This window comes from Homo sapiens, chromosome 15 (assembly GCF_000001405.40).
Source record: "Homo sapiens chromosome 15, GRCh38.p14 Primary Assembly".
Lineage (NCBI taxonomy): Eukaryota > Metazoa > Chordata > Mammalia > Primates > Hominidae > Homo > Homo sapiens.
Window position 1 is genome coordinate 57,295,367 of NC_000015.10, and position 23,591 is coordinate 57,318,957.

Here is a 23,591-nt window from a genome sequence, read left to right on the forward strand (position 1 = left end):
CAAAACACTACGTTGTACACAATAAATACATACAACATTTTTTGTCAATTAAAAAAACGTTTAGGCCGAGCACCCCAGCATTTTGGGAGGCTGAGGCAGAAGAATCACTTGAGGTCAGGAGTTCGAGACCAGCGTGGCCAACCTGGTGAAACCCTGTCTCTAATAAAAAATACAAAAATTAGCTGGGTATAGCAGCGTGCACCTGTAATGCCAGCTACTTGGGAGGCTGAGACATGAGAATCACCTGGACTCCAGAGGCAGAGGTTGCAGTGAACCTGGTCCACAGAGCAAGACTGCACTCCAGCCTGGCCTACAGAGTGAGACTCAGTCTCAAAAAATAAAAAACAACAACAAAAAAAAAACTTTTAAATCTATTTGATACAACATAGGCTGGGACTTCCAAAATTTTAAAAACCATCCTAAGTTCCTTCAGTCCTAGAGTTCTTTTTCAGTTATCACTGTTTTTGGTTCTCTGGCTTCTTGATAGTCTCCTTGGAAGAAAAACAACTGCATCTTTCCCTCTAAAGGCAAGGGCCATCTCTATATCTCTGAAGATCTAACCTTCTGCCACAGTTCGAATATGTTGGAAACGTAATCCCCCATGCAACAGTGTTGAGGGGGGTTGCCTAATAAGAGGTCATGAGGGCTCTCCTCCCAGGCTGTTTTGCCCTGCCGCCTTCCACCACGGATGATGTAGCACAAGGGCCCTCAACAGATGCCAGCCCCTCCGTCTTGCACTTTCCAGCCTCTAGAATTATAAGAAATAAATTTCTGTTATTCTTTTTTAATTACTCAGTCTCAGGTATTCTGTCATAGCATCAGAATACACACTAAGATACCTGCCTAGGCCATGAGGACCCCAAGACACAGCACAAATTTTGTACAAACTCTAACCAGACCACCTTTTTCCTACTCCCAGGGTGAGGTCCTTCCTTCCCCTGTCCCTTGCAGCCCTATGGGCTTTTTTGCTTTCTCTCATTCTCCGGGCCTTCTGCAGCTCTATTTCCTGCAAGATTGCATCTTTTCTCCTGGATATTTGGTCGTCGCTGGGCTGAGGTGGCAGCCTAGTGTTGGGAGCAGGCTTCTGGCTGGCCTCTGATCAGTAAGCCAGAGGGGTCACCTTGTCCTGAAATACAACCCAGCCATTGGCCATGTTTTCCACCATCTTATGAGTATTCCCAGTGACCAACCTCAGCAGTTCAAGACAAGTTGGGTTACACAACAAGGCAGCACAATAATGAAGCTCCCACCCCTGGCTTGGGCCTGGGCGTTAGAAAGCCCTGCCTGCGGGGGGCCCTCTCACATGCAGAAGGCAATGGGTAGTAGCTTCACCAGACGATCCTCTGCCTACCTGCTCCAGGTCTCCCCCTGGGGCCATCCCACCTCTTCCTCATTAAAGCCTGTGCTGAAAGGAGCGGGGTTGTTTTTCAAATTCTTTCAGCAGTGAGTTATTGATCAACACTGATAGTGCGAGCAGCTTGATCTCACCCTGAACTGGCAGAGATTAATTAGCTTGATTCCCAAGCATAATTCCTAATTAGGCACAGGAAGAAAGGAAAGAAAACACAAAGGAACTATTCTTCTCCAGGAACCACCGACCTTCTGTCCAGGGGTGGAGGAGGAAGAAACAGGTAAGCATGTCCCAGCACCAGAGTGCTTCCTGCCCATTCCAAAGCTGGGCAGCCAGCCCGTCAGCACAAACAACACCGAGGACGGTGCCAGTGCCATCCTGCAAGGGTTTCAGAAGAAAATGTGCATTTAATTTGTTTGCTTTACTCTCTGCCTAATGATGGGCAGGGAAGGCACAATTAAGCAGGAGGCTTTGAAGTACCTGCTCTAGGCTTGCTTAGCCACCAGAGGCTGAGGATGCAAGCAGGGGAGAGTTCAGCTCCAATAGGCTGGGGAAGAAAGGTTGGATGGGGAGGGTGTAGTGGCCCTGAGACTTGAGCAGAAATAGTGAAAGGAACCACTTCCTGCAGCTGAGAGGCAGGAGCCATCATGTTCTGTTGTGGGCATTTTCTAGAATGTTCCAGCCAGGACCAGCAGCTCAAATGGCTCTTCCCTGGTGGTGGGTAGGGCAATAGGAGATAGGAGGGACCTTCAATGTGGCAACTGTGAGGTTTGGCCAATCAACTTACCCATGCTGAGCTTCGGTTTCTCTTCAGTGAAATGGGGATAATTAATGATCGTATCAGCTTACATGACGGTTGTGAGAATTAACTGAAGAATTCAGAGATGCATGGCACATAGGAGGCACTTCCTAACCCACCTAAAGAAAGCAAACCCACAGGGCAGCAAATCAGAAATGGATGAGGGCTGACCTCCTCTTTATTCAGTAGCACATGTCTAATAGACCCGACTGTGTCTCGCACATGCTGCCCCTGAGGAAGACTTATTATAGGGAGCTACAAACAGTGTCACCTGGGAAAGACAGTGAACTCAGTTATAGAACAAGAACACCTGCCCGGGCTGACTGGGGGCCAGGATGCAGGGAAGGCTGCCTGGAGGAAGTGACATACCCCTGAGTCTCAATTGGCCAGGGAAACAACTGAGCAATGATTTGTGAAAATGAGTTCAGTAGAGGTTAATAAAAATTGGGAGTCCTGGCCAGTGGCTCACGCCTGTAATCCCAGCACTTCGGGAGCCCAAGGCAGGCGGATCACAAGGTCAGGAGTTCGAGACCAGCCTGATCAACATGATGAAACCCTGTCTCTACTAAAAATACAAAAATTAGCCAGGCATGGTGGTGCCTGCCTGTAATCCCAGCTACTCAGGAGGCTGAGGCAGGAGAATCGCTTGAACCCAGGAGGCGGAGGTTGCAGTGAGCTGAGATCATGCCGCTGCACTCCAGCCTGGGCAACAGAGCAAGACTCCGTCTAAAAAAAAAAAAAAAAAGGGAATCCCTGCTGTCTGCAGTAGGCCAATCAAGTGTCCAAGAATTGTGAGAATGTGCTTCCCCATCACCACCACCAGCCCACACCCACACCAAAATGTGTCACCCTTCAATCCCTTCAAGTCTGTCTGCTCAGCATCCTGATCCAAACAAGCCACTTTAAAAAGTGCAGTTATGAAACAATTCGAACACTGACTGGACTACTGTTTATATTTTTAGATGTGATACTGTGGTTATGTTTCTCTAAAAGTCCTTGTCTGTTAGAGATACACACTGAAGTGTTTACAGAGAGAATGATACAATCGCTGTCTGGAATCCGCTTCAATACCATCCATTGTTGGAGGGTGGGTAGTGGGGTTAGGGGGTTTTGAGGAAACAAGATTGGCCCGGTCTATCAGCATTGATGCTGGGTGAGATAGGTAAATGGGGGTTCATTATACACTTTACTTTTGAAAATGAAGTTTTTCGTAATAAAAAGTTGAAAGAAAGAAGGAAGGGAGATGGGAAGGCAGGGAAAGGAGAAAGGGAAGGAGAGAAGGAAAAGATTCTGCTCAAATGTCCCTTTGGAAACCTTCCTTGACCCCCGCGTTGGTGTGGGGCCGGGGGAATGGGGAGGCTGTTTTCTGCTCAGCCAGAGCAACAAGGCCCATGAGGAGACAGGAGGGATGTCTGGGGAGCAGTCCCAAGCCACAGAGTCCTTCTGGGGACCAGCCACACCATGAAGAGAGAGCAGAACAGGGAGCATAGCACAGACCTATGACATAGCACTGTGCCATGACATCAGCTGGCAAAGGCCCATGGGACCAGGAGGGAGGCATTAGAAGGGCGAACACTAGCAGCTGTTGAGTAGGAAGAAATGTGAGCCGACTTCTCTACCTAAGGAAGCGGTGGCAAGGCCGTGGAGGTTCGGGATGGGGACGGGTTCCAGGATTAGAGTGCTTTTTTTTTTCTTTCTTTCTTTTGAAGGAGGAGAGGCTATGGGAGCCTCAGGTACCGAGCATCTGGTGTCTGGAGAGATGCAGCTACTCAAGGCAGTTTCTGATCTGGAACCAGGAAGTCTCTGTTTCCCCACCAGCCAGCAAACGTTCTGGACTTGGTGCTGGGCCTGCCACCACCAAAGGTGGAGATGCCCCACATACCTGCGTCAGGCATGACAGGTCACCCCTGAGTCCTTGGGTCTCCCCAAGGCTTCTCCAGGGCTTCCCAACAGGGCTGAGATTCAAGAAAACGCTCAAGGTCCACCCCACTGCTCCGACCCTCTCACCAGAAGAAAAGGGCTGTGTCCCAAGGGCAGCCTGCTTGGGAAAAGAATATGTGGGGTGACTTGTCCAGATCTGCCCAGGGAGGCTGGGAATGGAGAGAGAAAGGAATCTGCCCACCAGTTGGGGGAAAAGTGGATTTCGCAACAACCTTGATGATATTAAATGCTTGGGGGGCCTGGGAAGACCAAATGTTTAATATTTGGAGAAGAGGCTGTCTAAACAGAGTAATTAGGAGGCTCCTTTGTAGTGATATGAAAGAGATGAATTGGGTATATTTGACATCAAAGACAGGAGATCCAGTGGGGAATGAGACCCACGGCCGGGCGTGGGCAGCGCTGGAGGACAGGCTCTCCCAGTGTGCTGCGGGGGAGGGCAGCCCCTGCAGTGTGCGTGTTGAGTGCTGGGAAACCCCCAAGTAACACTTCCCCCCTCATTTAACACACTTCCTAAAACCTCTCCTCCCCAAAAGCCACTTTGCAAAAGCAGCGATTACCACCAACCACGAGAAACACAGGAGCCTGCCTTCCACTGTTTACCACTGGGCAGGAAGTCGTTTATGGACCAGTCTCTTGCCCAGGCTAAACTCAGAAGTGGACACTGAGGGCCGGTTGTGGGTGCCACCAGGCAAGCTAGGGCATCGGAGTTCAGCAGAGCTGGGTGGGAATTCTGCTTCTCCCTCCACTACCTGGGTAACCCTGGGCAAGTCACTTAGCCTCTCCGAGCATAAACTGGTTTGCTTGTAATATGCAAATAATAAGGGGTGGGGGAAATTTTTTTTTTTTTTTTTGAGACAGAGTCTCGCTCTGTCACCCAGGCTGGAGTGCAGTGGCGTGATCTCGGCTCATTGCAACCTCCGCCTCCTGGGTTCAAGCAATTCTCCTGCCTCAGCCTCCTGAGTAGCTGGGATTACAGGCGCCCGCCACCACTCCCAGCTAATTTTTGTATTTTTAGTAGGGACGAGGTTTCACCATGTTGGTCAGGCTGGTCTCAAACTCCTGACCTCGTGATCTGCCCTCCTTGGCCTTCCAAAGTGCTGGGATTACAGGCGTGATGGAGATGATACTCCCTAAATCACAAGGGTGTGGTGTGAAGATGAAATGGCTGCACGTGACAGAGGAGTTGGAGAACAGGAAGCAAGTGGATTACTTGGATGAACTGTGATGGGCCCAAGAAGAACTAAGCCAATCACTCCAGGGGGCGTTTTCCCAGGATCCAGGCAGAGAGCTGATTCCAGCATCCACGTTGTATCCCCCTCCCGCTGTGGCCGGGGTCTCCAAGAGCCGGGCACCCACTGCAGAGCTTCCAAGCCCAGGCCCATTTGAACACAGGAGGACTTTTGAGGTTCATTTAACCCCAAAATCAGTGATTCTACATCTCAAGCTCATATTTTGAAGTGTTTACGGGTAAGTCATATGATACTGGTCATTTATTTTTTAAATATTCTAGCCAAAAGTACATGGTAGACAAAGTGAGAATGTCAGAATGTTGATAATTAGTGAAACTAGACGAAGATACATGAAAGTTTAATTTTGATTCTCACCTACTTTCATGTGCATTAGGAAACTTTCATAATAAGTTAAAGTAACAAAATAGGCCAGACTCGGCTGCTCATGCCTGCAATCCCAGCACTTTGGGCGGCTAAGGCAGGCGGATTACTTGAGGTCACGAGTTTGAAACCAGCCTGGCCAACGTGGTGAAACCCCATCTCCCCTAGAAAATAAAACAAAAAAAAAAATTGTAGCTGGGCATGGTGGCAGGCCCCTGTAATCCCACCTACTCAGGAGGGTGAGGGAGGAGAATCGCTTGAGCCTCAGAGGCAGAGGTTGCAGTGAGCCAAGATTGCGCCATTGCACTCCAGCCTGGGTGAGAGAGCGAGACTCCATCTCTGAATAAATAAAGTAACAAAATACATTTCAGTCTCGAGCTCCAGTTCCCTGCCAGGAAGAGCTGAAGCTGAGCTCTGGCACCCCCTGCTTCTTCTCCCTCATCCCTAAAACATGTGGGGTACTGGGTGCCAAAGGAGATCTGAAGATGGCCACCACTCAGACCAGCAGTAGAGGCCAAGAAGGTGGTGAGAAATTTTAAGGTATTGTAGCATATGCTCTCCAGGGTGAGGACACAGGATGCTGGGACCTAAGGAGGGAGAAGTTAACCCAGAGAGGGCCCAAGTCAGGGAGGACCTGACTGTGGTGACAGAGCCAGTCATGCTAATAATAGGAGCAGTGGTTTTGCAATCACAAATATTGGTCTGGGGGACTGCGGGCCCAATGTGGTGGGAGTTTTAGAGCAGGGACCCCTCCACTGTACGTGGATTCTTATACTTGCTAAGTTGCACTGAATTCTCAATCAACCCATTTGGAGGCTCTCACCAAGACAGGAGTCCCTTTGAATTGGTAGGATGTTAAAAGCTTCCTCCAGCCATTGACCCTGGGTCCCATTGGTAGAAATCAGATAATAAATCAGATTTTCCAGGTAATCCTCAGTTTAATGTCCATTCCCTCATTCAATCAATTATTCAATTACAAATCATTTTTAATATGATTTTATGGTTCAGGAATTCAGGCAGGGCTCAGATGGGCAGTTCTTCTGCCCCACATGGCATTGGCTGATAACAGGCTACCCCAAGGAAATCACAGTGTAATGGGAGATGGGAAATAGGTTAACACAAAGTTACTATACTACAAGAAAAATCTTCAAATCTTCAATCTTCATTCTTCATGGGTGTGAGTCTTCTCTGGTGGAGAAGAGAGTTCTTTGCTAAATTATATTCCTGTGTTAGCCAGCCAAGCACACACGGAGTACAGCTGTCCCTTGCTATTCATGGCAGATTGATCCCAGACACTGCCACCCCCAGCCCTGTGAACACCAAAACCCATGGATGCTCAAGTCCTTGATATAAAATGGTATGGTATTTGCACATAACCTACACACATCTTCCCATATACTTTAAATCATCACTAGATTACTTATAATACCTAATGCAATGTAAATGCTATGTAAGTAGTTGCTACGCTGTATTGCTTAGGGAATAATGACAAGAAAAAAAGGCTGTACAACTTCAGTACAAATGCTATCATTCATTTTTTTATCTGAATATTATGATCCATGAATACAGAGGGCTGGCTGTAAAAAGAATGTACAGTTTGGTACTTTACTCCTAGTTTAAGTCATCTCTTTCGGCCCATACAGGTTGCCTGGGGCAGGGCGGTGGTGAGTGTGTTGAGTCGGCCCTATACCCTGTTCCACAATGCCTGGTGTCCTTGGCACGTAGCTTGCAGGGCTGCTTCCATGGATGGCTGCCTCATCCCCCACCCCTCCTTCATGGCACCCTCTTTTCTCCAACTCCTTTTCCTCTGCTGAGTCCTACCTTTTCTTGCCAGACCAGGGATTTGCCAATTATTCTGGATGGGCACAGGGAAGGGGCCCTCAGATCCTGCAGAGGGAGCATCTGAAAGACAATGAGACCCTGTACACAACCAAGCTGAGCCTCCTGTAAGCACATCCTCTGGGTGTCACTATGCGAAAAGACTCTTTGTCTGTTTACATTGCACAACGAATTGTCCCTCTGATTGTCCTAGCGTTGGTGCATGCATGGATCCAGGAAGAGCAGGTATTTGGACCCAACGAGACAGGTTCATCTTGGCAGTTTGTCTCCTGTGGTTGCTTTGTGCCTGCCCCGTATCTATCCACCCAACTTCTGGCAGCAATCCCTCCAGGACCCACCTCTGTCTTCATGGTTTGTGTGTTCTGATCCTGCTCCTTGGCCCCAGAATACACCCTCCACATCTAAGCTATGCAGTGCCTCATCCCCACAGCTGCAGCGATTGGTTTAGGAATGGGAAAATAATCCAATCAAAGTAAGATTGTCTAATATCTGATCCCGCTTACCCCGGAGCCAGAAGTCCCACCTTTCCAGGCTCCTCCATGTTCCTTTCTGGAGCAATGAGGAGGAAGGTTCATTCCCTTCTCAGGGAACTTGCTGCGGTGTCCCAGTCCTGACTGTCCCCTCTCTACCCCTGCCTGTGGCTCTCCCGTCTCCTGGCATTCTAACCTGCCACTGAATTCTTCCCACGCCAAACGCAGGTTAGGAACCTAAGCTCGGATGAAATGCTGGCTTAGACCTCATTGCTACTGAGAAGCAGAAACCACACTTTTTAGTTGGTAGAGGTGGATGTGGATTGGGGCCATAAAGTTTCCTCAATCATTGAATAAGGATTTCATTATTTGGACTAACTAAATACATTAGATTATTTATACTAACTAAATAAATTAGATTTATTTTTCGAAGTTTAAAATCATTTTCAATAGTGACGAAAAAGGCTGTAGATGAGATGGGAGAATCTTTCGACGCCAAATTCTTCCCATCTCCTGCCTAGTATGTATCACTACACCTTGCCCAGAGAGACTGTAGGGGTGCTCAGCAAAAACCATGGCTGGTTGATTCCCTGGAAAAAGGGGTGCTGTCCCAGGGAGCTCTGTGCCCTTCCTGCCAACACTGGGGTCTAGAGGAGGCAAGTTCCCCTCTGAAGGTGAGTATGATTCACTCATTAAAACTAAGAAATTTACATTGGTATGTTACTGTTAACTAACCTACAGACTTTTTTTAGATTTCACCGTTCTTTACACTCTCGTCCTTTCCAATTTCCGGGATCCAATGCAGGATACCAGGTTGCATTTTTGGATGTGTCCAGTCTGTGATCATTTCTCAATCTTTCCTCATTTTCTCATGACTTTTGACATTTATTTATTTATTTATTGTGTGAGACTGAGTCTCACTCTGTTGCCTAGGCTGGAGTGCAGTGGCCCCATCCTGGCTCACTACAATCTCCACCTCCCGGGTTCAAATGATTCTCCTGCCTCAGCCTCCCAAGCAGCTGGGATTACAGGCGCACACCACCACGCCTGGCTAATTTGTATTTTTAGTAGAGATGGGGTTTCACCATGTTAGCCAGGCTGGTCTCAAACTCCTGACTTCAGGTGATCTGCCTGCCTCGGCCTCCCAAAGTGCTAGGATTACAGGCGCAGGCCACCACGCCCAGCCTGACTTCTGACATTAGAGTACAGGGAGGGATTCTGTAGAATGTCCCTCAATTTGGGTGTGTCTGGTGTTTTGCCATGAGACTGGGGTTATGCTTCTGGGTGCCACACAGAGGTGAAATGTCCTTCTCATCACATTATTCGAGAGGTACATGGTACCAATGGGACTTATCGCTGCTGATGTTAACCTTGATCTCTTGGTTCAGGTGGTGCCTGCCAGCTGTCTCCACTGTGGAGTTACTATTTTTCCTTTTCCCCATTTTATTCATCAGAAGCCAGTCACTAAGCGAGGTCAAACTCCAGGACAGGGGAATTAAGTGCCACCTTCTGGAGAGGGAGCATTCACATTTATTACTTGGGATCCTTCTGTAAGGAAGAGCTGTTTCTCCTCTAAAAAACTCTTTAATCCTTTTAAGCCTCAATTTCTTAATTGTGAAATGGGGCTAATACCTGTATCCAACCAAGGGAGTAGTTAGAAGGTAACATGATAGGTGGAAAGCACTTAACATAGGCAAAATGTTATTATCAGGAATGATCGAGAGACCCATCCAACTATCTGAAGGAGTCACTTAACTCTACTGTACTGCAGCGCTGTAAAGTCTGCATCTTTCACTGGGGGTAAAGGCCCCCAGTCCCTGAGACGGGCCAGTTTGGAGACAGGCTGGTTTTTTCTCTGTTCTCCTGAGAGCCCTTCAGATGAGAAGGGAGGTCTGGAGACAGAATGCCAAAAGCCCATTAAAGGCACGGCCTTGCATTTCAGAGAGGGAGCAGGTCTAGAGAAGAACCAGAGGAGCTCAGCTGAGATATGGTGTATGGATTGGATTTTGGTAGAAGATGGGAAGAACCAAACACCTGAGAAACCACTTTGAAGATCGGGGTCAGAGTAAGGCCTAACACATAGTTGGCTCCCAGTAATTATTGGTTGATTGAACAGCTCAAAGAGCAACTCGACCAAGAACACTGGACTGGGAGTCCAGTTACTTGGATCTTGCATTCCTGATTTATTTTTATTTTATATGTATTTTTTCTATTTTTTTGAGACGAAGTCTCACTCACTCTGTCGCCCAGGCTGGACTACAATGGCACGATCTCGGCTCACTGCAAACTCTGCCTCCCAGGTTCAAGCGATTCTCCTGCCTCAGCCTCTCGAGTAGCTAGGATTACAGGCATGCACCACCACGCTGGCTAATTTTTGTATTTTTAGTAGAGACGGGGTTTTGCCATGTTGGCCATGCTGGTGTCCACCTCCTGACCTCAGTTGATCTTCCTGCCTCAGCCTTCCAAAATGTTGGGATTACAGGCGTGAGCCACCGTGCCTGGCCGTGATTTATTTTTTTTGTGTATGTTTGTTTTTGTCAACTTGCTGTGTGACCTTAAGCAAGTTACTTAACTTCTCTGGGCTTCACTTTCCATGGATGAACATTGTAAAGAGGCTGGAGAGAGATGAGGACTAGGTACAGGCTTTAGAGGAGAGCCACCGCCCCGGACTTCTCCCTCTGTCACCCCGCTTTCCATGACCCTCCTTGCCTGACTTTGTGACTCCTTGCCTCGCTATCAAAACAAGTGCTGCAATCTCAGTGCTTTCCAAGAGCCCTGCATTGTTAGAAACTTCCCAGCACGCAGCAAAGGCTGCTGCAATACTCGCTCTGCCTGCCTTTGCCCTGCGCTTCCTACTTACCCTCCTTTTGTTTCTCCCAAACATCTGTCCCTGACTATGCTCATCTCATGTTTGTCCTCAGCTGCTGAAAGGGCCACGTTTGTTTTCATTACAAATAAGACCACCGAGTGGGCTCCTGGCGTGGGGGCGGGACCAGCCGCGCGCAGTCTTCAGAGGCAGCCCCCCAGGCTGTCTCTGGAGGGTGTGTCTCTGCTTCCCTTTCCCCGTGTTTATTTTCAGACGAAGCCAAGTGGCCCGGGGGGACCCTCCGGACTCCCAGCCTTCAGAGAGGAGGGCAGCTCGGGCTTTCGCCGCAGTGCTTCCTGCCCGTCACGTGTGTGCTCCTAGCCGGGGTCGGGGGAGCTGGTATCTTGGCCCTTCTGGGAGGACGCGCACAGCCCGAGGAGGCAGAGCCCCAGACGGGAATGGGCTTTTCAGAGGTGGGGTGCGGGCGAGGGGACGATGCATTATTTTTAATATTTGATTTATTTTTCCAACTGGACTTCTTCCCGGGGCTCTTTCTGGGCCCAGCTGCCTTTGTGATCCCGCGCCCCGGTCCTCGGCCTCTCACCTCCAGCGCCGGGGCGCCCCCTGCTGTCGGAAGCGGCTGTGACCGGGCAGAGGTGCTATCTGGGACTCTGGGTTCTCAGCCCGGGGACAGCGAACCGAGGGGCAGATGATCCATCAGAAAAGAGCCGGCACTGCCCAGCCCCGCGCCCCTGCCCCTGCCTTTTTCCGGGAGCGCGCCGCGCCGCACCCGCTACGGCCGCTTGACCCCATCTTTGAGCCCGGCCCCAAGCTCTGGGACCGTCGTGCCCCTCATCAAGGAAGAGCCAAGGACCCCAAGGAGAAGGTCAGGAGCGGCGGTGTGGATGTCCCTTGGCTGCAGGCCCCGCCGCGCACTCCCTTCAGTCCTTCCCTTCTCTAGGGACCAGGTAGCATCAGTGCCTGGATCTCGGCCTTGTGTGCCCTGCTCCCTGCCCCACCTACTAAGAACCAAGTCTGGTTCACCGGCTCCCAAGAGCTGGAACCCATTCTCAGCTAGCTGGGGGCCCAGGCCACCCCTTCCCTCCAGACCTGTGTGCCTTCTGCCCTGGCTCCAGGGCCCCCCACACCGTGACCAGGGCGGGATCCCTATGGGGCTGGCCAGGCGGCACCGTGCCAGGCCCACAGTGCCCTGGGCGTCCATGGAAGTCGTTCTGTGTCTTTAAAATCAGAAGGAAGACATTAACCTTTAGGCTGAAGAAAATGTTTTAGTACACAGCAATAACTTATTTGTCTTTATCCAACAGCCATAAAATATAACTTTAAATATTCTATTGATAGAGAAAGGAGTTCATGAAGGCAGAAATGCCTGGGGCCCACGAACATCCCAGTGTGGCCCTGGACGGGACATCATGCTGGGCAACACAGCTAAAATGCGGGTGAAGACCAGATTTCTTGCACATGGCGGTGACGGGATGCTCCCTAGAGAGCTTCAAGTGGATTCTTTGCTTTTTATTTTCTCTCTTAATAAAAATGTATGATGTTTACATTGTCAGAGAACAAACAGAACTGTGGCTTGTGTTTCATGTCTTACGAAATGGGTCTTGTGTACTTTTGGCTGTTCTTTCATGTTCTTAGCAGTTATAGATTTGGCCCCTCTGGAATGGAGGGGCCATATATCAGGGGGTTTGGGGCAGGGGACACGGCCCTCTGTTCACCCTGCCCTCCCTGATAGGTTGATTTATCTCCCTGCAATCCCTTATTCGCCTTCCGGGCTGGTCTCCTTCCCAGTCCGAGATCTGCCCCCAAGGCTTTGTTTGGCACCGCCCCACCCCTGCCTTCCCCAGTAGTCTTTCTACAGATCACCCCTTCCCATGTGTCCTCAGCGCACCCCTGCCTTCCCCAATAGTCTTTCTACAGATCACCCCTTCCCATGTGTCCTCAGCGCACCCCTGCCTTCCCCAGTAGTCTTTCTACAGATCACCCCTTCCCATGTGTCCTCAGCGCACCCCTGCCTTCCCCAATAGTCTTTCTACAGATCACCCCTTCCCATGTGTCCTCAACGCTGGCCTTCTCAGGAGTTCTAGCACCCGTCTCCACTGCTTTAGCCTGCTAAGACTGCCATAACAAACCACCACAGCTTGGGGGATTCAACCACAGAAATGTGTATGCTCATAATTCTGGAGACCAGAAGTCTGAGATCAAGGTGTCCACAGTGCTGATTTCTTCTGAGGCCCGTCTCCTTGGTTTGTCAAGAGCCTCTTCTCCCTGTGTCTTCACAGGGTCTTCCCTCTACGCCTGTCAGTGTCCTGATCTCCTCTCAGTCACATTGGGTTAGGGATCACCATATGACCTTGTTTAACCTTACTCGTGTCTTTAAAGACTCTATCTTTTTTTTTTTTTTTTTTTTTTTTTTTTTTTGAGACAGGGTCTCACTATGTTGCCTGGGCTGGAGTGCAGTGGCGCCATCTCAGCTCACTGCAAGCCTCTGCCTCTGGGGCTCAAGCAATTGTCCTGCCTCAGCCTCCCGAGTAGCTGGGATTACAGGCGTGCGCCACCACCCCTGGCTAATTTTTTGTATTTTTAGGAGAGACGGCGTTTCACCATGTTGGCCACGCTGGTCTTGAACTCCTGACCTCAAGTGATCCACCCGCCTCGGCCTCCCAAAGTTCGGAGATTACAGGTGTGAGCCACCACGCCCAGCCGTCTCCAAATACAATCACATTGTGCATTACTACAGTTAGGATTTCAACATGTGAATTTGAGGGGGACTCAAATCAGTCCATACACCCACCACCACCTCCACTTCCATTCACAGAAATGATTGCCAGAACTACAGACCTTGAGCTTGTGTGGGGTGACAATCCGACAAGCAACAGTGAGACAGAGCTGAGAGGGCTGCAGACCAGGATGGTGGGACCGAGGTTGCTAACAAAGCGCTGCTGAGACCTGCACAGCATGGAGGTGCTGCTGGGGGAGAGGGGTCCCCGTGAGTGGATCTGCTTGGTCTGCCCTTGCAAATAGTTCTTGTCAACGGGAAGGACTTAGAGCCCCTTGATCTACACTCATGGATACTTTTTTGAACTCAAGGTTTACAGTAGAAACCAGCAGCACCCCATCCCCTAGGGCTCTCTAACCCACTGTGTCTCTACCCTGACCTTACCTACCTTTTTTTTTTTTTTTTTTTTGTGAGACAGAGTCTCGCTCCATCGCCCAGGCTGGAGTGCAGTGGTGCGATCTCCACTCATTGCAAGCTCCGCCTCCCTGGTTCACGCCATTCTCCTTCCTCAGCCTCCCGAGTAGCTGGGACTACAGGTGCCCACCACCACGCCCAGCTAATTTTTTGTATTTTTAGTAGAGACGGGGTTTCACCGTGTTAGCCAGGATGGTCTCGATCTCCCGACTTCGTGATCCACCCGCCTTGGCCTCCCAAAGTGCTGGGATTACAGGCGTGAGCCACCATGCCTGGCCCTTACCTGCCTTTTTTTAACCAAAAATTCTGATCTATGTTCCAATAATTATTCAATAACTGCAGCTCTAGATTCATAAATAGAGTTTATGGGGAACCCCGTGGAGGATGCTGTTCAATGGGGAAATCTTGTACAAACCCGGTCTAGGCTTATCCAGTCCTTGGGTTGAACATTCTTGGAAAGAGGCTAACCTCCCACAGGCCCCCCTACAACACCCCCTACCTCGGCCCCCAACTTTCTTGCCGTGCTCATCTGGCTGGTACCTGCTCAAAGTAGTCATGTTCATTCAAAAAGACTAAGAGGACAAAGTGGGGAAGATGAATCTTTCTGAAAAAGAATTACTTCCTGTATTTCAAAGTGAACTGCAAATTTAAAAATTTTTTTTTACGATAAAATGCTGCTTGCATCATTCAAGCTGGTGCCACCCTCTCTCACTGCAGTGTCAGGTCTCTGTGCCGAGCCCATCGATTATCCTGCTAGTAAAATAGGAAGGAGCTGGAGGATCACTTTTTAATCTTATCCATTTTGGCGGTGATCCTTTTGGCTCTGTCTTAACACCCTAAGACGAGTCCTGGCCCACATTTTTCCTGGGGGTAGAAGAAGAGGGAGACGGGAGACAGTGCAGCTGTGTCATCTCCTTCAAAGCAAACCTCTCTGCGTAGACCTCCAGATGCAGAGCGGGCTTTGGAGGAACACTAAATCCCACCCTGATTGCCATTTAGCCCAGAGTTACTTGCGCAGAATAACAATATCCCCAAAACTACCCTGAACGAGGAGTTTAAACTCGGAGTGAGACGTGCTCATGGCTGCCTTGCCTTTGCTAACAATGTGAACTACAAACTCTTCTCTTGCCCGGTCCTCTTCCCGGAAAGTGCCTGGAACAAGCCGGAAGTCTTTCTGGGGATTTTAGCCATAGAATCTCAAGCCTGCTTTTCGGGATTTGCATCTGCCTTGTTTTTCCCAGTCTCACCTTCCCACCAAAGCCAGGACAATGCTAGTCAAGTTCATAGCCACAGAGTTCTGTGGGCATTCATTCCCTCATCGACCCCCTTTACTCGCAAAACCCAGAACCACGGAGGCTCCCCATAAACGCATCCAGGCCCTCCTGGGAACCTCCAGATGCAGTCTCGCGGGCCCCACTCCCAGTCCTTTCATAGCCTCCCACTGGAGCCTTGGGGTGATGTGTGTGTGTGTGTGTGTGTGTGTGTGTGTGTGTGTGTGTGTGTGTTGATGATGAAGGACACACGAGTGCTGTCCCCTCACTGCCATGGCTTCTCTGAGGTGCTGCCTCCAGCTCTGTGTCCTCTCAGAGCAAACCTCACAAGTAGCTAAACGGTGCCGTAATTGCTTCAGTGCCCCTGTGGTCACACTGTGCTCCACATGCGTCTATGAGGGCCGCTCTCCAGTCCGTGTCCTGCTATCTCACTGAGGCCTGGAGCCTCGACTTGTGCTCTGTACTTCACCAAGACGCTTGTGAAAATGGCCACTAGGCTGTTCTCTGCTGGGGAAAGACTTAGCTCCTGGGGCCATGCTGGGAAACAGGCTCCACACAGCTCTTTCCGCTCCTCACCTCTCTCACCTCTGCTCCCAGGCACCTTCACCCCAAATACACTTTTTTTTTTTTTGAGATAGTCTCACTGTGTCGCCCAGGCTGGAGCACAGTGGCGTGATCTCAGCTCACTGCAATCTCCACCTCCCAGGTTCAAGTGATTCTCTTGCCTCACCCCCCCTGAGTAGCTGGGATCACAGGTGCTCACCACCATGCCTGGCTATTTTTTGCATTTTTAATAGAGACAGGGTTTCGCCATGTTGGCTAGGCTGGTCTTGAACTCCTGACCTCGAGTGATCCACCTGCCTTGGCCTCCCAAAGTGCTGGGATTACAGTGTGAGCCACTGCGCCCAGCCCCAAAACACACTTCTTATTGCTTCCTTTCTTTCCCACACAAAACAGCAAATGTTTTGCTGGAGGCTGATGGCGCAGAAATTATCAGACACAGCTATACCCAGAATCCAGGTTAGGCTTAGTGGGATCCGCCTCCCATCCCGGCAGCTCTTCCTGGAGACACTTCCCCACCTCTGGTGGCCTAGCCGTTCAGTGTGGTCACTGTGGCACCCGTTGGGAAGCTGACACCAGCTGGTGTTGGCATTGCACTCCATCAACAAAACTGAGTCAACTGTCCTTCAACATAATATCACTTATATTGTTTCCACATCATCAATGTCTTAATATTTTACATAACTGATGTGGTGTTTCATCAACTACAATCTCTCTTAAGTGGAGGAAGCCTCACCAAATTAGTAAAATGCAATCTGAATTATATCTTTTAAATGAAACAGTTTTATTATTTCCAGCGCATGTGGAAATTTAGGCGAGATAAGTTTCAGGTGGACAACTCCTTCGGGATCTTTAATGAAGTCATGAAAATGGTTTATCATGAACTTATCAATTACTAGACGGAAATGAAAGCTTTTTGTAGCTTTGGAAAAGCCTGTTCCTTCTCCTCTACAGCGACATCTTGTTTACATCATCATGTGCTCAGCCTACTCTGCCCTCATAATTTCCACCAAAGTAAACGTCAAGCCTGATTCTGCAAAATATCACACATTTCAATTTGCTGCATTTAAGAACATTCTTGATATGTTATCCTTCTTTATCCCAGGCTCTTAAAATGCTTTTTCAAAACACTTGCTTGGACCTGTGGAAATAGGCGGTTCTGATGTTTGCGTTTTGAAGATAAGACGGCAGAAATGTTGAGGCCCTGATTGCATGGCTTGCCTGAGTTCCCAAGGCCTGAGCTCTGCCACTCCCATCTCTAGCCCAGTTCATTGGGCTCAAAGGTGGAAGGAGAGGCTGCTTCGGAAACCCCCGCCGCCAGGTGTAATTACAGTACCAAGAGCCGACCTCTTTGCCACACCAATGGTCCAGTGACCACTGCCCAGCACATGACTCTTGGCCTGGGAACGAGATGACATTCACTGAGTGTGACTGCCACATCTGAGTCAGAGGCGAGGGGGAAAAACAAGCACTTGTTTTCCACATGCATCTCCAAGGCTGCATTTCCAACTTGGCCATGGCCATAGAAGCCAGAACCTTACAGTGTCTTGGCAATTAAATGGTTTTCACACTTCTATTTTTAAAAGCCTTGGAACGAGTAACCTGGGGGATCAGAGTGGTTGGGTGAATGTCTTTCCAGAGCTCCCCACTGTCGGAGGCCCTGTCCTGGCAGCATTCCAAAGCAACTGCGAAACCAAAATGCTACAACAGGGCCTACTCTGCAAACCTGCTCCTCATATGATAAAAACAGAAACACCAGAGGCACCGGGGCCCTTGCAGTCTGTCCTACGTGAGGACAAAGAGTACATTCTGGCCTCCGGTCCCCAGGCAGTAAGATTATGATCCCACTATTTGCATGTGTACATAAAGCTTTCACATATGGGATTGCAGTGCAGGGGTCCCCAGAAAGCCATCTCAGAGAGGGAGGTTGGCACGAAAGAGGTTTCTTTAGGGTGAATTCTTGGGGTCAACACCTGGGAAGATCAGAGCTAATTCTTGGGGTCCACACCTGGGAAGAGGAGGGGAGGCGAGGGGACACGAGGGGAGGAGAAGGGAGGGAAGGGAAGGCGCTGACAGCTGTGGCCTGTCTGTGGGTAGCGCCCAGCAGCTGGGAGAGTAAGTCCTGCCTTCCTGAGGAGCTGAACTGTGGTCGAAGAATCCCTCACAGCATTTCATCTTGCTTTTTAAACGTGCAAACTTTAAAAAAAATTGAGGTGAAATGTACATAATATAAAGTCATAAAATTGACCATTTTTTCTTTTATTTCTTTTATTTATTTATTTGCTTATTTATTTGAGATGGAGTTTTGCTCTTGTTGCCCAGGCTGGAGTGCAATGGCGTGATCTCGGCTCACTGCAACCTCTGCCTCTCGGGTTCAAGCAATTCTCCTGCCTCAGCCTCCCGAGTAGCTGGGATTACAGGTGCCCGCCACCATGCCTCGCTAATTTTTGTATTTTTAGTAGAGACAGGGTTTCATCACATTGGTCAGGCTGGTCTCTAAGTCCTGACCTCAAGTGATCCGCCCACCTTGGCCTCCCAAAGTCCTGGGATTACAGGGGTGAGCCACCGCGTCCGGCCTATTTCTTTTATTTTTTTAAAGAGAAGGTCTTTCTCTGTCGCCCAGACTGGAGTGCAGTGAAGCGATCATAGCTCATTGTAACCTTGACCTCCCAGACTCAAGCGATCCTGCTGCCTCAGACTCCAAGTGGCTAGGACTACAGATGCACCCAGCTAGTTTTTTAAACTTTTCATAGAGATGGGATCTCGATTTGTGGCCCAGGCTGGTCTTGGGCTCTTGGCCTCAAGTGATCCTCTTGCCTTGGCCTAACATTAACCATTTTATTTTATTTTATTTGAGACAGGGTCTTACTCTGTCACCCTGGCTGGAGCACAGTGGCATGATCATCGCTCATCGTAGCCTCAACTTCCCAGGTTCAAGTGATCCTCCTGCCTCAGCCTCCTGAGTAGCTGGGACTATAGATATGCACCACCACCCCCGGCTAATTTTTTAATTTGTTCTAGACATGGGGTCCTACATTGCCCAGGCTGGCCTTGAACTCCTAGGCTCAAGCAATCCTCCCACTTCAGCTTCTCAAAGTGTTGGGATTAGAAGTGTGAGCCACTGCACCTGGCCAAAATTAATCATTTTAAAGTGTACAATTCAGTGGGATTTAATGACATTCATGATGTTGAATGTTAACATTGTGAATTTAGGACATTCCGCTTGTATCACATTTCAAAATATTTTCATCACCCCAAATGAAAATGCTACACCCATTAAGCAGTTACTTCCCCATCCCCTCCTTCCCTGGGGTCCTGGCCAACACGAATCTGCTTTTTGTTTGTATGGATTTGCCTCTTCTGGATATTTCATATACATGGAATCATACAATATGTGACCTTTTCTGGTCAGGCTTATTGCACTCAGCCCCATGTTTTTGAGGCTTATTCGAGCTGTAGCATGTGTAAATACTTCATTCTTTTTTGTGACCGAATAATTGTATGGCGATGTCTCATTTGGTTTATCCATGCATCCACTGATGGGCATTTGGGCTGTAGCATTTCATCTTTTAAAAAAGGAACTCACGGTCAGGCATGGTGGCTCACACCTGTAATCCTAGCACTTTGGGAGGCCAAGGCGGGCAGAATGCCTGAGGTCAAGAGTTCGAGACCAGCCTGGCCCACATGGCAAAACTCCTGTCTCTACTAAAAATAGAAAAATTAGCCAGGCATGGTGTCAGGCGCCTGTAATCCCAGCTACTCGGGAGGCTGAGGCAGGAGAATCGCTGAACCCTGGAGGCAGAGGTTGCAATGAGCTGAGATCGTGTCATTGCACTCCAGCCTAGGCAACAAGAGAGAAACTCTGTCTCAAAAATAAATAAAATAAAATAAAAAAGGAACTCAGTATCCTAAAAATCTTCTGTGTTGCAGACCTACTCATCCTTCCCTCCCGCTAAGCCCTGGCGACCACTGATCTTTTTACTGTCTCCATAGTGTTGTCTTTTCCAGAATGTCATCTAGTTGGAATCATACATTCCGTAGCCTTTTCAGATGGGCTTATTTCACTTGACAATAAGTTTCCTCCACGTCTTGTCATGGCTTGGTAGCTCCTCTTTAGTGCTGAACAATATTTCGTTGCCTGGGTGTACCACAGTTTATATATCCAGTCACCTACATCTTGGTTGCACAAGGACATCTCGGTTGCTTCCAAGTTTCAGCAATCATGAATAAAGTTGCTATAAACATTCATGGGCGGGTTTTTGCATGGATATAAGTTTTTAACCCATTTGAGTAAATACCAAGGAGTGTGATTGCTGGATGGGATGGTAGGAGTATGCTTAGTTTTGTGAGATACTTCCCAACTGTCTTCCACAGTGGCTGCATTCTCATCAGCAATGAATGAGAGCTCCTGTTGCCTCACATCCTCACCAGCACTGGATGTTGTTGGTGTTCTGGATTTTGGCTGTTCTCATAGGTGTGCAGTGGCATTGGTGTTTTAATTTGCATTTCCCTGTAACATATGATGTGGAGCATCTTTTCATGTTTATTTTGCATCTGTATAACTTCTTTGGTGAGGCGTCTATAAAGGTCTCTGGTCCACTGTAAAATCACGTTGTCTGTTTTCTCATTGTTGAGTTTTTGTTTTTGTTTTGAGATGGGGTCTTGCTCTGTCACCCAGGCTGGAGTGCAGTGGCATAATCACAGCTCGCTGCAGACTTGACCTCCTGAGCTCAAGCTATCCTCCCACCTCAGCCTCTCAAGTAACTGGGACTACAGGCATGCGCCACCATGCCTTGCTAATTTTTTATTTTTTGTAGAGATGAGGTCTCCTTCTGTTGCCCGGGCTGGATTCTTGAGTTGTAAGTTCTCTGTATATTTTGGAACTACGGTGTATATTACTATACTGGTGGACACATATTAGAAATGGGTGCAAACCCATAGACTACGCAACACCAAGAGTGAACCCTAATGTAAACTGAGTGACAGTGGACTCTGAGTGATTATAACGTGTCAGTGTAGGTTCACCATTTGCAACAAATGTACCGCTCTGGTGGGAGTGTTAATAATGAGGGCTGCGAAGCATGCATGGGCTCAGGGAGGATGTGGGGAATCTCCGTATTTTCTGCTCAATTTTACTGTGAATTTAAAACTGCTCTAAAAAATAAACTGTATTAAAACAGAAAAAAATAATTTAGGATTAATCAACGTGTAAGTTCCTGGTCATTGAAGTCAGAACCTCACCTCATTTGGAAGCAGGAAATCCCTTCTTTACTCACCGTGTGCATGGGACACACTGACCAAAAGCCCCTGCCCATTGGCCTTCCTGGGCCTGAAGTGGCACTTCATGCTTGCCCTCCACTTGCCTGTCGCCACATGCATGCCAGGGTGGCCTCAGCCCTGCCTTACCCTTTGCAGGCCCAAGTCAGCGGGGTCATCCCCAGAAAGGACTTGGTGTCATTTCTGGAACAAGTCATTTCTGGGGGTGCCCCTGCTGTCACTTCCCTCTGCTCCAGGGAACCCTCTCCTAGGCCCTGCCAGGGTGTGGGACTTCTTGCTGACCCCAGTCCTTGGCTCATCTCCCTCTTTCTTCTCCCAGGGTCGTTGAAGAGGGAGCCTATTCCTTCCAAGCCTTAAAGCCACCCTCCTTGGCTTTAAGTTACAGCCAACATTCTGGCAGTCGTAGGATCCACCAGCAGAAGCTATGTTCTCCTGCTTGGTCTATGGGTGAATCTCCGCAGGGCCCTCTGTTCCCCACTCGGTCCCCACTGTGAGGCCCCGCCTGGCCCCTCTAGGTTCTCTGCCCCCAACTGGTCCTGCCCACTTCTGCTCTCTCCTTCCCTTCTCCTCAATCATCACGCCCTTGTTCTCAGGCCTCAGTGCCCCAGCACTTAGCACAGAGGATCAGGAACTTCCACAGTGATCCTAAATCTCCCTGTTCTTTTTAAATTTACTTTATTTTTTAGAGCAGTGTTGGGTTCACAGTAGTTTTTGCTTCCGTCAAAAAATGCTTGTTGACTCGGAACCTCTTCCTTGGAAATTTCAACTGCAAATCTGAGAGCTGCTTTAGAGAACCCTCTGTGGGAGAGTGCCTGCCACCTGTTGCTCCAGTTTTCTGTACATAATCTATGATCCTCCTGGCAATCCCATGATGTGGGCATTGTTATTCCTGCGTTATAATCGAGGATGTTCAGGACAGAGCCTATCTAGGTGGGAAGTGGCATGGCCAGGATATGCCCCTTGGGTGCCCTAGGACCAGCTCTGTTCCCATCTCTGAGCTCCCTCTGCCCATCGGGTAAGGTCTGGTCACTTCCATACTGTTTTCAATCTACTCTGTGCCAGGCAGGGGGTCAATCACTGAGATTTGTAAGGTACATGGGTGGGGCTGGAGGTTAGAAGAGAGTTTTCAAATCACTTTCAGCCTAGTGGGGAAGGCAGGCCCATCACCAAGGCAGTCCACCAACAAGGCTAGAGGGAGCTGTGCTTAGCCTGAGGGAAGAGCCCCATTTCTGTGGCATTATGGGTGACATTTGAACAACTAACCACTCATTTCATTACCCAGGGTCAAACTTCGCCCCAGGGATATTCATTAGTAAGATGAAGAGGCTTACTGTTTGCTGTGGTCCTAATGTCTGTGTCCCCCAAAATTCGTATGTTGAAATCTTAACCCTCAAGTCGATGATATTAGGAGGTAGGGTTTTGGGGAGAAGATTGGGCCATAAGGAGTGAAGTTCCATGAATGGGATTAATGCCCTTATGAAACAGGCCCCAGAGAGAACCATCGTTTCTTTTGCCATGTGAGGTTACAGTGAGAAGTCGCTGGCTAGGCGTTGATGGCTCTTGCCTGTAATCCCAGCACTTTGGGAGGCCAAGGTGGGAGGATCACTTGAGGTCAGGAGTTCGAGACCATCCTGGGCAACATAGGGAAACCACGTCTCTACAAAAAACACAAAAATTAGGCCAGGCACAATGGCTCACGCCTGTGATCCCAGCATTTTGGGAGGCTGAGGCAGGCAGATCACTTGAGGTCAGGAGTTCAAGACCAGCCTGGCCAACACAGTGAAATCCCAACTCCACTAAAAATACAAAAACTAGCTGGATGTGGTGGTGCGCACTTGTAGTCCCAGCTACCTGGGAGGCTGAGACAGGAGAATTGCTTGAACCTGGGAAGCGGAGGTTGCTGGGAGCCGAGATCGTGCCACTGCACTCCAGCCTGGACAACAGCATGAGACTCCATCTTTAAAAAAAAATTAGCCTGGTGTGGTGGTGTGTGCCTGTAGGTCCAGCTACTCAAGAGGCTGGGAGGATTGCTTGAGCCTAGGAGTTTGAGGTTGCAGTGAACTATGACCGCACCACTGCACTCCAGCCTGGGCAACAAAGAAAGACCCTGTCTTTAAAATAAAATAATAATAATAATAATAATAATAATAATAAAAGAAAGGCCATTTATGACCCAGAAATCAGGCCCTTACTAGATACCAGATCTACCAGCACCTTGATCTTGGACTTCCCAGCCTCCAGAACTGTGAGCTGTACATTTCTATTTTTTAAAAGCCAACCAGTTTATGGTATTTTTGTTATAGCAGCCTGAATGGACACAGTTAAACCTGACTCCAGAAAGTAAAGCAGGCCCCTGTGAAGGAAGGAAGAGGGAGGAAGGAGGAAGGAAGAAGGGGGAGGGAGGAAGGAAGAGGGAAGGAGGGAGAAGGGCGGTGGCCGCACACCCCCACATCTC

General features: G+C 49.0%; 1 long non-coding RNA gene across 1 annotated transcript, besides 5 other annotated features; it reads left to right on the forward strand.

The window, feature by feature from the left end:
• Positions 3,009-3,058: an enhancer, noted in NCBI's record as "active region_9459". NCBI's record gives its function as "activates an Ori minimal core promoter by ATAC-STARR-seq in GM12878 lymphoblastoid cells {active_cell/tissue: GM12878}" and the evidence as "EXISTENCE:reporter gene assay evidence [ECO:0000049][PMID:35858748]".
• Positions 3,541-3,660: an enhancer, noted in NCBI's record as "active region_9460". NCBI's record gives its function as "activates an Ori minimal core promoter by ATAC-STARR-seq in GM12878 lymphoblastoid cells {active_cell/tissue: GM12878}" and the evidence as "EXISTENCE:reporter gene assay evidence [ECO:0000049][PMID:35858748]".
• LINC00926 (long intergenic non-protein coding RNA 926) lies at positions 4,999-12,403 on the forward strand. Its single transcript, NR_024433.1, has 3 exons — positions 4,999-5,558; positions 9,953-11,702; positions 12,198-12,403. It is a non-coding gene; the product is annotated as a long intergenic non-protein coding RNA 926 (long non-coding RNA).
• Positions 11,156-11,375: an enhancer, noted in NCBI's record as "active region_9461". NCBI's record gives its function as "activates an Ori minimal core promoter by ATAC-STARR-seq in GM12878 lymphoblastoid cells {active_cell/tissue: GM12878}" and the evidence as "EXISTENCE:reporter gene assay evidence [ECO:0000049][PMID:35858748]".
• Positions 11,156-11,506: a biological region, named in NCBI's record as "ReSE screen-validated silencer GRCh37_chr15:57598867-57599070".
• Positions 11,303-11,506: a silencer, noted in NCBI's record as "fragment chr15:57598867-57599070 (GRCh37/hg19 assembly coordinates)". NCBI's record gives its function as "represses an EF-1alpha promoter that drives an FKBP-Casp9 reporter gene in an ReSE screen in K562 erythroleukemia cells {active_cell/tissue: K562}" and the evidence as "EXISTENCE:reporter gene assay evidence [ECO:0000049][PMID:32094911]".
• Positions 12,404-23,591: the final 11,188 nt, after the last annotated feature.